This window comes from Homo sapiens, chromosome 16 (assembly GCF_000001405.40).
Source record: "Homo sapiens chromosome 16, GRCh38.p14 Primary Assembly".
Taxonomy (NCBI): domain Eukaryota; kingdom Metazoa; phylum Chordata; class Mammalia; order Primates; family Hominidae; genus Homo; species Homo sapiens.
In genome coordinates this window covers 71,126,965-71,140,835 of record NC_000016.10, presented here as the reverse complement: position 1 = coordinate 71,140,835, position 13,871 = coordinate 71,126,965, and the positions used below count along the sequence as shown (strand labels likewise).

Sequence of the window (13,871 nt, the reverse complement as noted above, 5' to 3'; positions counted from 1 at the left end):
TATTCAGAAGTGCAATTGGCCTATAGATTGGCCTATATCGTTGTTATATCTTTATCAGATTTTAATAACAATGTTATACTGAAAAATACAGTGTTGGAAATTAAGAACTAATGGTATGACTTTAGCAGCAAAATGGATACTGCAAAAGATAGGATTAGTGAACCTGAAGACAGGTCAATAGAAAATACCCAAACGGAAGCACAGAGAGAAATAGAAAAGAATGGGGAAAAAATAGAACAGCCAAGTGGGACACAGTCAGAAGGTCAACATACATGTAACTGGAGTCTCAAAAGTGGAGGAGGAAGAATGGAGTAGAAAATATTTTAAGCAATAATGGCTGAGAATTTTCCAGAAATGATACATGACCTTAATCCAGAGGTTTATAAACACTGAGCAAGCCTGTGGTGGTACAAGTACAAAGAAAACCAAACTTAGGCATATTATGGTTAAATGGCTGAAATCTAAAGCAAAGAGCACATTATAAAAGTACCCAGAGAAAAAAGATACATTACCTTAACAGGAACACTAAGAATACTGATGGCAAAATTTTCTGCTGAAATTATGGAAGCTGGAAGACAGTCAAATGGCACTGTTGAAGCACTGAAAGAAAACAATGCAAATTTATACCACTTTTAAAGTATTCTTTAAAAGTGAAGACAAAAGAAAGATATTTGCAGACAAAAAAAAGCTGGAAAATTTGTGTAGAACTCTTGAATGGCATTGTTTTCACCTTTGTCATATTGAAGATATCATTCCATTATTTTTTAGTTTCCATTGTTTCAGTTCAAAAGTTAGGTGTAATTCCAAGTGTGGAAACTTTAAAAATAATGTTTTTTTCCTCAGGCTGCTTTCAGGATTTTTTCTTTGTCTTTGGTTTTCTTCAGTTTCACTGCAATATATTCAGGTCTGATTTTTAAAAAATTTATCCAATTTGACTTTCACTGGCCTTTTGAACTGTGAACTGATGTCTTTAATTCCAAACAAAATTCTTAGCCATCATCTTTTGAAATACTGTCTTTGCTTCATTATCTCTTTCCTCTCCTTCTGAGAGTTTCCAATTCAATACTTTTAGACCTTCTAACTTTATCTTCCTTGTATCTTATCCACTGTATTTTTCATATATTTTTATTTCTTCATATTGCCTTTTGTGTTTTCTGAACTACCTCCCATTTCACTAATTTGTCATGAAAAATAATAAAATTATTTTATTAAATATTTATTTTGAATTTTTTCTAATTTAGACTATTTTATTTCTGTAGGTCCTAGAGTGTGGCTTTTTTCAAAATTTTTAAAGATCTTATTGATTTTCTATTTCCTACATATGGCTTCAGCAATCCATTTGTTTCTTTAAACATAGTATGTATAATTGGTTCATAGTTTCTATCTGATGATTCCTAGTGTCTGATATTTTTGTGGGCCTATTTCCATTTTTCTTGTACCTGCTGGTTCCAACACATGGAGTTTTATTTCCTTGCATTGCATCATTATGTTTTGGTTATGTGCTTTTTAAACAACATTGAAAATTTTGAAACTTTGGATGCAAGTACCTTTCCCCCCCCAAAAAATTGAGTTTCTTTCACCAAGTGTCTAACCAGTCAATAATTATCAAATTCAAGGTTTGAAGTTATTTGCAAGACATAGGCAATTCCAGCATGGTATTCAACTCTGTACTAAGGCTAATCTACTTCCAGTTCACCCTCATCTTGAAAGCATAGTTCTTTTTTTTTTTTTTTTTTTTTTCTTCTTTATTTGAGACAGAGTTTTGCTCTTGTTGCCCAGGGTAGAGTGCAATGGGACGATCTTGGCTCACCACAACCTCCGCCTCCCGGGTTCAAGTGATTCTCCTGCCTCAGCTGCCTGAGTAGCTGGGACTACAGGCATGCGCCACCATGCCCAGCTAATTTTGTATTTTTTAGTAGAGATGGGGTTTCTCCATGTGGATGAGGCTGGTCTTGAACTCCCGACCTCGGGTGATCTGCCTGCCTCGGCCTCCCGAAGTGCTGGGATTACATGCATGAGCCACCACAACCAGCAGAAGGCATAGTTCTTTGAGTATTAACTTATTTGGAGGAGGGGTTTTCTCTTTGGTTTAAGCCAATTAATTTATGAAAAGGTGTTCAACACCATCCATAATTAAGGATATTCCAATTAAAGTAACAATGAGTTTTCACTTATCAGATTGTTACATTTCACTCAAAGAAAGTTTAAAAGTTGACAAGAGTGCATACCTTTTTTTTGGAAAGGATGTGCATGAAAATATTGACAGTTCTTACCTCTAAAAATCAGACTTGGAGTTAGGTGAAGGGGAGAAATATATTTTTTAGTTTCATTGTATTTGCTTTTATAGTACTTGAAATTTTGACTCTCTATATAAGTTTTTGAAATAAAAATTTTAAAGTCAAATGCCTAGATGCTTACTTTTTCTTTCTTTGGGGAAAGTTTTTTCTGCATCCAAAGTTATTGAGCCTAAAGAACATTTAAAATGTATAAAGGGTTGTTGATTTCCTGAATGACTGGTTCATACAACAGTGAATGGAGCAGAAATGTTTGCTAAAAAATAAGATACAAGTAATGATGCTTTAAAACTTTAGCAACATAAATCAACAAAACATTCATGGTATTTCGATATTTATTTTTTCTATATGATGTCAGAGTAATGCACCTGCTGTGACATTGCAGAGATCAAATCAAATATAGTTTATAGGTTTGTGTCTTCTTGAAAACTCACTTATATACTAAGAATCAAGGTAATTGGTGCATCCTGAATAAAGTCAGGGGCTTAAATTGCTATACTGAATAAAGATATTCCTAATATTTAAAATTTTTAAATTTTTAATACAATTTTTGTCTTCTTTTTATGTGGCCACTATCCAGACATGTCAGGGGTGTGTGTGTGTGTGTGTATGTGTGTGTGTGTTTCTTTTGTTTTGTTTTGTTTTGTTTTGTTTTAATTGCTGTTTAGGGATGTGGTTTCTTTTAAGTAGTCAGTTTTCTATTTTTGAAGTTACTGAATTTTCCCTCCTGATCACTGTTCTCAAATGGACTTAAATTCTCTCATATTGAGCAGCTCTTCTTAAGTATAGTTGGTACAAGCATTTTTAAGAATGACAAATCAAGCTCATGCATGAGCTAAAGATGAGGCATAGAGTAAAATTCTATAACTCGATTGCTCTCCTGGTCAGGCTGTAGGATTGAAAGCTATTTACAAAAAAGAAAAAGTTTTGGAGTGCCCACAACAACAATACATATTTTATATATTTCTTACAATGACCAGGCAAGATAGCTTGATTTTTCTATAACTGCACCAAGCATAATATTTGTTTTCTGATCATATCTTATCTCTGAACTGATGGGGGTACAGTGGAAAGAATGAAATCCTGATGCTTATGCTATTTTGCCTAACTTCAGCTTGAAAAAAAGATAGCCTAGGTGTGTAATTTTAGAATAAATCTTGAAGTGTGTTTGTACTTTGTTAATTCCTAGGTGAAAAGGTGTTTGTATCTCTCTATGGAGCTGCCATAGACATGAATATAAGGCTGGATAAGAATTCCTTGACCATCGAGAAAACCTACATATCTCTGGCCAATCAGCGAACTATAACCATTCACAATCGCAGTAATATCATTGCCCATTTCCTGTGGAAGGTATTTGCTACCCAGCAAGAAGAGGACAGAGAAAAATATAGGTCTGTAACAAAAATCACCTATATGCAGTAATTTGGAGGGGGGGAATGTAAAACTCAGTTATTATGAAAAATTAGTGAATTTTGTACTACATTTTTAGCCAACTCAACCAATGTCACATTTTTCTAACTTGGTTCTGGTTTAAGATCCTCTTTTGAAGCTGCTCATTTGAACGATCTGAGCTGAGCTATGTGGAACAGAATGTCCATCCTGAGTTGATGTAACCTGTTTATAGTTTAGCAGTAATGGAATGCCTAGATTTTGAAGACAAAACCTATCATTCTTCACTATTCTTTCAAAACAAGTCTACCTGTCTCTATTACTTTTCATAACCCTAACTAGGTTGATCAGGTTTTTTTTTTGTTTTTTTTGTTTTTTTTTTTTTTGAGATGGAGTCTCGTACTGTCGCCAGGGCTGGTGTGCAGTGGCGCGATCTCAGCTCACTACAACCTCTGCCTCCTGGGTTCAAGCAATTCTCCTGCCTCAGCCTCCTGAGTAGCTAGGATTACAGGCACCCACCACCACGCCCGGCTAATTTTTTGTACTTTTAGTAGAGACATGGGGTTTCAATATGTTGGCCAGGCTGGTCTCAAGCTCCTTGACCTCATGATCTGCCTGCCTCACCCTCCCAAAGTGTTGGGATTACAAGCGTGAGCCACCATGCCCGGCCAGGTTGATCAGCTTTTATAAAGCGTTCCTAAAAATAATCTATTTTGGATTGGCATCAATGTGGAATTTTTTTCAGTGAAAAGATACTTGTAGAAAATATGAAGATTGAGGAAAAAGAAGGGCTTAGATATAATGGCTTTTATATTCTTGGTTTTAGTAGCATTGCTCCAGTCCCTGCAAGCTATATAAGTTAATAATGATTTCTTATTGGTATCTTTAATATTATGGTTTTAAAAATGGCACTTCAGGCAGTGGAGAAAATTAATAAAATGTAAAACCAAACTGTTGTAGCTAATCTCATCACTGTTAAATTTTGAAGATTTCTTTTTACTGAATCCATGCTTGCCTCTTTTAAGCTCCATTTTCATTTTTATCTCCTTCCAACCTCCCTGAATTAACACTTTTGCTGCTTTCATTGGAATTTATTTCAGCCTTTTTTATTTGCCTTTCCATTTTCATTAAAGATTAGCCCTGGGAAGCTTCAAACTTTGTTTAAAACCAAGTTCGTATGTGATAAAAATAAAAGTCTTAGGTCCGTGGAAACCAGGAAGAACCCCCCCAGTGTGCAGTCCCTAATTGAATCAGAAGCCACGACAATGACAGGACACAGTGGGCCAGAAGCTTTGTCATTCAGACAATGAGCTTTAATCACTGAATTGCCACTGTGCCATCTTTTAAAAAATGAGGAAAGAAAAACCACTTATGCCTAAAATCTTCCTCTGGCTTTATGGCATAGAAATATCTGTGGTTTTAAAAGGCACAAGGAAAAGGATCCAGTACTGCTTCCTTTGCCCTGGTTCCCCGACTCACATGTGCTCACCAGCGATCAAAATGGCCCAACATGCTTGAAGGGAAAGTTGGAAAGGAGATCCAAGTAAAGAAAGTAAAATAGCAAAGTAGTGTTTCAGTATCATTCTTGTCCTGTGGGCATAACCCTTTGTGGAGAGTGAGTACCCATTGTAAGAGGGAAAGCCAGCTTTAATTTCAGCCATGTCTGTGTGTTTGGCTATATGGATAATATGTGATTGATGCCATGCCAATACCAAAAACTATGTAAGGACGTTAATTTCAGCAGTTAAACTCTAAAAAAATTTAAACCAATGGTTATCAGAGATGCTAAACTATAGAGAATATAATTCAGCCACAGTGGATGGGCATTGATTTTAGTTTTTTCCCCACTTCACCTCCCCTGACACTCACACCCCTATCTCTTTAATATTGTCTTTTATTCTTCCCTTTCTCTTGCATCATTTTCTTTTACTATCTCCCTTGCTCTTTCTATTATTTCTTCTGGCAACTTCTTTGTAACAAGGGGAAAAATATAGGATAGCATTTTTATAACCATGATTGGAAACCTGATTTTATCATCTAGAATCATGACCCTCTTTTAACTAATAGACTTGAAAAGTGGCTTCAGATAAATAAGAATACCACCACTTTCACTCTGTGTGACATACAGGGCCAGAACTCCTGTTTCTCCAAACTATTGTTTTATCTCGGTAAAGAGTCTACGACGTGCTTTCCCTTCTCTTCCTCCCACCTCTCTCCTGAGTGCCAGGAGCTTGGCCAAGAGGGAAAAAGGATACCAGTCATGCTGATCTCTTGTTGCACCAGGGTGGCACTTCTTGCTCTTCTCTCCATTGTTCCTCGATACAGCCCAAGCATAATAATAAGAAAGCAAACAACTTTCCTATTATAAGCCGTGAATTCTTGTCCTTGAAGTAACTGTCATGAAATGCCCAACCTCTTGGAAAGGAAGGCAAGTACAGACAAGTTTGCCCTTTACTAAACATTTAACTCCTGCTTTCTGGACAGGGCAGTGGTGCTCTTTCTGTGAGTGTAGGCCCCTCCTCCTCCATGTCACAAATTCTCAGATCGTGTCCCAGGCCACACATCAGGGGTCAAGAAAGCAGAATGTTCTTTGGTAGCTTGCTTATGGGCAGAGACCCGCCCATCCCTGAAAAGCAGCAGCGAGATCTTTAGCGAATGGGGTGAATCCTCTTTTGAGCACCCCAGCAAGGCCTGCAGAGCTGAATCAGGCGTTATTCTCTTGATGTCTCACTCTCTTGCTCATAATGGGGTGCACCTTCTTCCTTTGTTCCCCCTCCTTCAGCAACCTCTATAGTTAAAAGATTTAACTTCTGGTAAACTTTCAGGTCAGACTGAAGAGCCTGTCCACTGTTTTTCTAGCATTTTAACATAGCTTAAAGCATGTCCTGTGGCATTCATCTCCAGGGGCTGAAAGTTGCTCTAAGATCGCTTCAATAATGCTAATAGCTTCAACAGATACACTCAAGTCCCATTCTAGCCATCATGGTTTCTTGTCCTCTTGTATCTTGATGAGCAAAGACTTGGATATCTCTTCTTGCAGTGGAGGAATTTCAGCCCCAGGAATACCAATTCGTTTCCAGCAGTTTACTGTTTGGCCTTCCTCCACACCTACCTCAAAGTATTGCTAAAAACCTTAGGACACATGTCCAGGTTTGGGGACAGAGGGTTGTTCCCATGCTACACACTTGGGCAATGACGTTCCTCCCCGTGGGAAGAAGTTCTGTACTTTAAATTTTTTTTTTTAACTTGATAATCAGATGTATAGGGACCTTTAAAAGGTCACCTTTATTTCTTTCTTTTGATGTTTTCCTGAGACTTGCAGAGAAATTAATCTCTTCAGAGATGGAGGCTGCATTCATCCCTCCTTGCTTCCTCAACCTTGTCCTGAGGGATTTTAAAACATTCTGCAAGATTCTTTCATACTCATTCTTATCACGTTCACTGTATTCAGAGACTTGGCATGGGCTTTAAGGATTTTTGCTCCCCATTTCCCCAGCAAGGTCACAGCCGTTTTCTCAATAGCAGCCAGCTCTAATTCTAGATTTGCTCTGTACAAGAGCTCCTACAATTCTCAAAGGAGCCCCTCAGAGTGGTCAGCATGGATTTATTCTATAATATGCAGATGGAGGAAATGACATGTTTCCTTAGATAAATCAGTTTTAATTGGGCTTTGAGCCTACCACCTGTGTCATAATAAACTTAATCTCAGTTATGTTTAGAGGCCCCTTTCCTTCCCTAGGGTTTATACAAAAATCCGAAGATTTACGTGGTACTGCCAAACAGGGAGAGGATCTCTAGTTCTTCATTTGTAACATTGATCACAGAGTTGCTAACTGTTTAGAGTCACATGATCCATTTTCCATTTGAAGGTGGATGGCTCCATTTGTTCCAGGCCAAGTGTGGACATGGGAGTATTTCCTCTAGCTCTCAAGACCATGGCTCTTAGTTTTTAATCTCCTCAGCATTCAGTTGGCACCTCTTGTGGGTGCTGAAGGGAGCAGATTACAGGCCTTGAGTACCTGAAGATGAGGGACTATTACTCGTTCAACCCTGCTGCACTGGAGACACACATCTTCCCCATTGACTGTTAAAGGTGTTGGTAGCTACTAGACCATTTGTAAAATGGGTTAAGCCCATGGTTTTACTGAAGAGAGGGCTGGCCTGCTGTTATGCTGTCTGATGAAAGGTCTCCTCATCTATAAAAGAGAACCACCTCTGAGTGCAAGAAACCATGACTATCAACAGGACGAGATGGCAAAACACTAGGACTGAGATCTATGGAAGCCCTTGTTGGAGCCAGGCCACATGAAGTTGTGGCTATACACCTCCTCCTTAGACTCTCAGTCCTGGCTCCAATTCTCCATCAGAGGAAGAATCCAGTACCCTCTCTCCTCCCTTTGCCTTCTACTGGCTGTTTTGGAGTTTCAACAGCATGGGAGAAGACCAGCGTTTTCGAATTTGTTTTGTTCTCTTTGTTTTCTGGTACAGGGATTGCATTTCTCATACTCCTCAGTCCATGGAGCACTATCATCTTCATCCTCAGTCCACACAAAGCATTTTATTTATTCTCTTACATCCCCACACCCCACTCCTGTTAATTCCCCCAAAGATACCATTCTAATATGTTACTGTGTCTATCTTTTTACATGAATCTGTTCTTTCAAAATGTATATTGTCTTGGGGGAGAGACAGAGAGAAGTCATATTTTGTATTCCATTTTCTCCTTTTTCTCACGAGGTTGTGTGCTTAAGATCCATTCATGTTGCTATGTGTATATCTAATCCATTGCCTCCACCTTCTGCAGACCAGACCACATTGTGTCACCCCACATTCCACCTGTGCACTCTTCCAGGGGTGGCATCCACAGGCTCATGCCAATGCAGGCATGTTAGGCAAAGGCAACCAGGTCAAAATCTTAGTGCCTCAGCCTGAGAATTAATTAACATTTAATTTCTTAAATGACTTGTTTTCTGGTTTAAAAAGAAATACATTGTGCACTAATAAAATTTAGAAAATATTAAGCACAAAGATGAGGGCAAAAATCCATTCTAATCCTTCCAACCAGGGAAACCACAGTCAATATTTTGGTATGTCTAAGTCTGTATTTTTTCCCTAATAAGTATGTATTTTTCTTTTGCTTTTTTATTACAAAAGTGGGATTATTGTATATGTTACATTTTACCACTTTGTTTTTCACCTTAAAACATTTCAGACATTTGAAAATGATGTTAAGTATTCCATTTAATACCACTTTACTGGCTGCTTATTATTCCCTAATATTCCCTGGATTCCTGGGAGGCAGTGTGCATATTGGTTAGCACCAGGGGATTCAAACCTCCAAAGACCCTGAAGTCCAGGCTATCTTTCAGCTATGTGATCTGGGGCGAGTTACTTAACCTTTCTAAGCCTCAGTTTCATCATCTATATAGTGGGAATGATGCTTATAATGCTAATGACCCTTCTGGTAGTTATGAGTGTTAAATTATATGATGCATGTGCAAAGTTTGACAGGTACCCAATAAATGTAATGTTCATGATTCCCATTTCTGTTCAACCAGTGCTTCATTATCTTACATCAAATTTACCCACTTGATCTGGTATCATTCCAGCACTTTAATGGACATCTTTGTAGCTGTGTCTTTGTTTATATCCATGATTGTTTTTAAGGATTTATTCCTGCAAGTGGAATTTTTTGGTTTCTAAGGGTATATAATCTGTAAGTTTTCCAGATCAGTATCAGATAACAAAAATATCAAATAAAAAAGAAATGGATTCCTTTCTTTCTGCAAACTGAGCTGTCTTTAATTTGCCCTGCCGTGCCCAGCAGTGTGGAAGGAATGCTGCCAGTCACCTTGGACACTGCCTCCTACCTGGCAATAAAAATCAAGCACAAGATGCTTTCTTCCTTGGAACCAGAACACACCGAGCCCATTTCTTTGACTTCTTTTTGCAGTGTGTGATCAAAGCACCCTGAACACATATGTTATTTAAAAAGAGTTATTTGACAATACTGACAGGAGTTGGAACTGGGACAGGAATTCAGTGATCCTAGGCTCCCACTCAGCACTTATGTTGCTAAATAATTTGTCTCTCACCCCTGGTAATACCAGTACAATGATGGGAATATGGTCGTATGTCCTGGGAGGAGATAAAATTCAGTCTGCAAAGTTCAGGAGAAATGTGAACATAGCTCTGGTGGGGGCAATGAGTGGATTGGGGAAAGCTGCTGTTCTCTCTTATCACGATGGATATTAAAAGCTAGAAAAAGAGAGAAAAGGAGGTGCCTTAAGGCATAGCTTGAGCATTTTGTAAGCTGACAGCTTGGCGATTGCCTATGGTTGACAGGGGGAGAAAACCGGTATATAGGCCGGGCGCGGTGGCTCACGCCTGTAATCCCAGCACTTTGGGAGGCCGAGGCGGGTGGATCATGAGGTCAGGAGATCGAGACCATCCTGGCTAACAAGGTGAAACCCCGTCTCTACTAAAAAATACAAAAAATTAGCCGGGCGCGGTGGCGGGCGCCTGTAGTCCCAGCTACTCGGGAGGCTGAGGCAGGAGAATGGCGTGAACCCGGGAAGCGGAGCTTGCAGTGAGCCGAGATTGCGCCACTGCAGTCCGCAGTCCGGCCTGGGCGACAGAGCGAGACTCCGTCTCAAAAAAAAAAAAAAAAAAAAAAAAAAAACCGGTATATATGGAGTTGCCAGCTTTGTCCCAGGAACTGCACTAGAGCCTTGATTACATTTAACCCTCAACACATCTTTCTGATGGAGCAGCTCCTGTGGTCTCTAGAAGGAGAAGGCACTGAGGCTTAGAGGAATCAGGGAACTGCCAAAGTCACAGAGCTAGTAAACAGATCACAGAATTAGTATGCAAACCTAGTCCCTGCCGGCCCCAGGTTCTATGCTCCAGGTAACTAACAGCTAAGAAAGAATTAAAGCTAAGCAAATTTAAAAGGAACAAAATTGTCCTTGCCATGTGAGGGGCAGAATAGATGTTAAATATTTAAAAAGCAGCCTGGAAAACAGGATTACCTGAAAGAAAATATTTGTCCAGATATACATAAGGGCTCAGGAGTAAAGCAATGAGTATTGAATAGGAAAGGAATCCAGGGAGGATCTCTTAAAGAAGGTGGTTGAAGATGAGCAAACAGAGGCTCTGAGAGGTTTGAGGACTGAGTGCAAGGGCAGCAGGTTACAGACTCAGGGCAAGGAGGGACCACCCCAGGGTGGTGGCTGAGGACATTTCCAGGAGGAGGTACTAGAGGGAAGCCCTTTACAAAGTTCTTCATGGGAGTACCCACATGAATCTCACATTGCCTGTTTTCTTTAGGGCCTGTGATGATCTGATCAAAGAGGAGAAGGATGAGACTGATGAGTTTTTTGAAGAGTGCATTACTGATCCTTTACTCCGAGAACATCTTTCTGTTCTGTCCCGAACCTTTGCGAATCAGAGGAGGCTGGTGCAGGGAGACAGCAAGCTGTTCTTCAATAACGTTTTCACTGTGGAGCCCCTGGTGAGCATATAAATAAAAGCTGACCATACAGGAAATGTAAGTGGGAGCACAGGCTTGCTTTGATAAGAGCGCTCACTTGGGGATTGAGACGGTGAGTTGCAAGAGAGTGAAGAGTCCACCTGAAGAAACTCACCATCACTGTGAGACATTATATAGAAGGTAATGGTAAGAATGTCATGGGACACATATATAGGTCACAATTTCCATGCATCAGTCACTGTGTTAACCACTTCCTAGGGATTATGCAGTTCTTCTCATTTGAATATGTATTAGCTTACAAGTGTACAATACAAGATCCCATTAGAATCCCATTCAACAGATGAGGATATTAAGACAGAAATTTTGTGATTTGCTCAAGGCCTAACAGCTGGGGTCAGTGTTTAGAAATCCATCCCTGTTTGGCCTGACTGTACAGCAGGACTTCTCAACCCTGGCACTGTTGACATTTGGGGCTGGGTCATTCTTTGTCCTATACATTGTAGGATGTTTCATGCAAAACATCCTTACTTTTACCCACTAGATGCTAGTGGGACAGCCAAAACTATCTCTGTACACCGCCAAATATGCTCTGTTGGGCAAAATCACCTGGGTTGAGACCTGCTTTGTCTTTCATTCATTCATTGAATACTCATTGACTGCATGGCCTGTATCAGGCACTGTGCGTGTACCAGACATTGATGGACAAAACAGACATGATCCTTGACCTCGTAGTCTTTCTAGTGAGAGCTGTGCCAGAATTAGAATGGGGTCTGTCTGATTCCATAGACTAAACTCTTAAGCACTCTTTCTCCCTACTGCCCCCAAATCAAAGAAATAGCAGCTTTGTTATTTACTGTATGCTAGGTGCTGTGCTACAGGCTTCCTGTGTATTAGCTCACTCCCACCAGGCAGAGAGTGATATGAGGATCAAAACAGCGATAGGAAGGCTGAGGCAGGAGAATGGCGTGAACCCAGGAGACGGAGCTTGCAGTGAGCCGAGATTGCACCATTGTACTCCAGCCTGGGCGACAAAGGAGACTCTATCTCAAAAAACAAAAAACAAAAAACAAACAAAAAAAACAGCAATAGGAGGTGAGGAAGCCCGCAGCTTGTTAGCGCTGCCGAATTGTTGCCATTTAAATCAGATACAGAAGAGACATGGACACGAGGACACTTTAGAATACAAGGTCACTTGTGAGAAATGCCATTGACTTATGCAGGCTCATTTTCCTTCCATCTGCACTTCTAAATTGTTGTTAAAGGATATAACACGGAAAAGGAGCTCCATGGCTAAGTACGTTTGAGAAACGTGAGAGTCAATATTGTTTGAAAGGTTTCTTGGTTATAAGACTTTGGAAAGTCTTTAATATGCTAATGTGTGTTGTTAATCTCCAAGAGGGAGCTTTTCCCTTGGAGACATCCTCTGGGACACAGTTTTCTGGGGCCGGCTATGTGAGTCACTGGAGAAGACAGTAAGGTATTCTAGTTCAGAGGCTGAGGTGATTTTCATAGTCAAAGAAGTTGGAGAAGGCTTCTTGAGAGAAGAACCTGGGCCTGAGTCTCACAGGACAGGCCTTTTGGAGAATGAAATTGTCGATGTGCATGGCATGGTTCACCCAAGGCTCTATGAGTAGACTAGTTTCTTGAAGTCAAGGGTTCATGTAGGGAAAGAAGGTTGGAGATGTGTGCCAAGGCTGAGACTTCTGTTATGTCAGAGGACTATCTAGGGCTCAAGTGAGCAAAGGGATCTCCAAATATAATGGGTTAGATCAAGATGAGGACCAAAAGTGAAAATAGGTCAAGCCCAGAGATATGGAAAAGGTCAAGAAGGGATTATTGATTGGTGCGTGCAAGCAGGTGGCTGAGCTGGGCTGAGGCAGGGAAGAGCCATCAGTTGTGCTAATCTTAAACATACTGGTAAGGTTCATGCGGTCCAAGACTGTTCCCAGCTGCACTGGACATCCAGGCTGATGACTGCTACCCCTGGGCAGCCCTGGGACCACAACATGGTGGTCAGGAGGAGGCCAGGGATAATCCATAGGTAAGTCCTGCCCATTTCTATTTCAGAAGTAGGAACACTGGAATTACCTCCAATGAGCTTCTCCTTATGTTTCCTTCCATAACCCACAGTTCAATGAAGGAGATGTATGTATGTTAAAATATGGCATCTAATATGATAGTTTTTGAATTCCAAGTGGGAACTGAATTAAGCATTCTTGTCACGAAGCCTTTTTTTATCCTTAGGAAGAAAAACGTTTTAGTAATACACAGAAATGGTACCAAAATGATAATTTTTAAGCAAATGAGACTAATTTTATTTGTATTGTCGGGGGGGAGGTGATGCCAGAAATAGGCAGAAATATTCACTTCCAATATAAATGGTCTTTATGGAATCTATCATGATTTTGTTTTCCTCCTGTGCTATTTAGTCTTTCTTTTCATAATAGTATTCATTAGCTGGTTGACAATTTTTGCAAAGTGAAAATGAAGGCATGAAACTTTCCTAGTTTTCCCAAAGTTATTCTGGTCAAAACAGCAGAACTCAATATCAGTTATAATGAATTCTTTATTTATGTTAAATCTCCTTACTTAAAAACTATAGTTCCTGAAAGTTTTATATAAATACAGTTCTCGTTTGTGAAAGTACTATAATCTTACCTTATACATTACTTTTAAAGGTATTTAATGGGAAAATT

At 39.7% G+C, this 13,871-nt stretch overlaps 1 protein-coding gene across 4 annotated transcripts in view, besides 1 other annotated feature; it reads left to right on the top strand.

Annotated features, from left to right (window-relative positions):
• Positions 1-13,871, top strand: part of HYDIN (HYDIN axonemal central pair apparatus protein) — a 428,639-nt gene that overhangs the window by 89,887 nt on the left and 324,881 nt on the right. For all 4 annotated transcript variants that reach the window (NM_001270974.2, NM_017558.5, NM_001198543.1 and 1 more), the window contains exons 8-9: positions 3,484-3,685; positions 11,013-11,196. In NM_001270974.2, coding sequence (NP_001257903.1) covers positions 3,484-3,685; positions 11,013-11,196 — 386 coding nt within the window. The remainder of the gene's footprint in view (positions 1-3,483; positions 3,686-11,012; positions 11,197-13,871) is intronic.
• Positions 6,676-6,970: a silencer, noted in NCBI's record as "tiled region #1449; K562 Repressive non-DNase unmatched - State 22:ReprW". NCBI's record gives its function as "represses a minimal TATA promoter and a strong SV40 promoter by Sharpr-MPRA in K562 cells {active_cell/tissue: K562}" and the evidence as "EXISTENCE:reporter gene assay evidence [ECO:0000049][PMID:27701403]".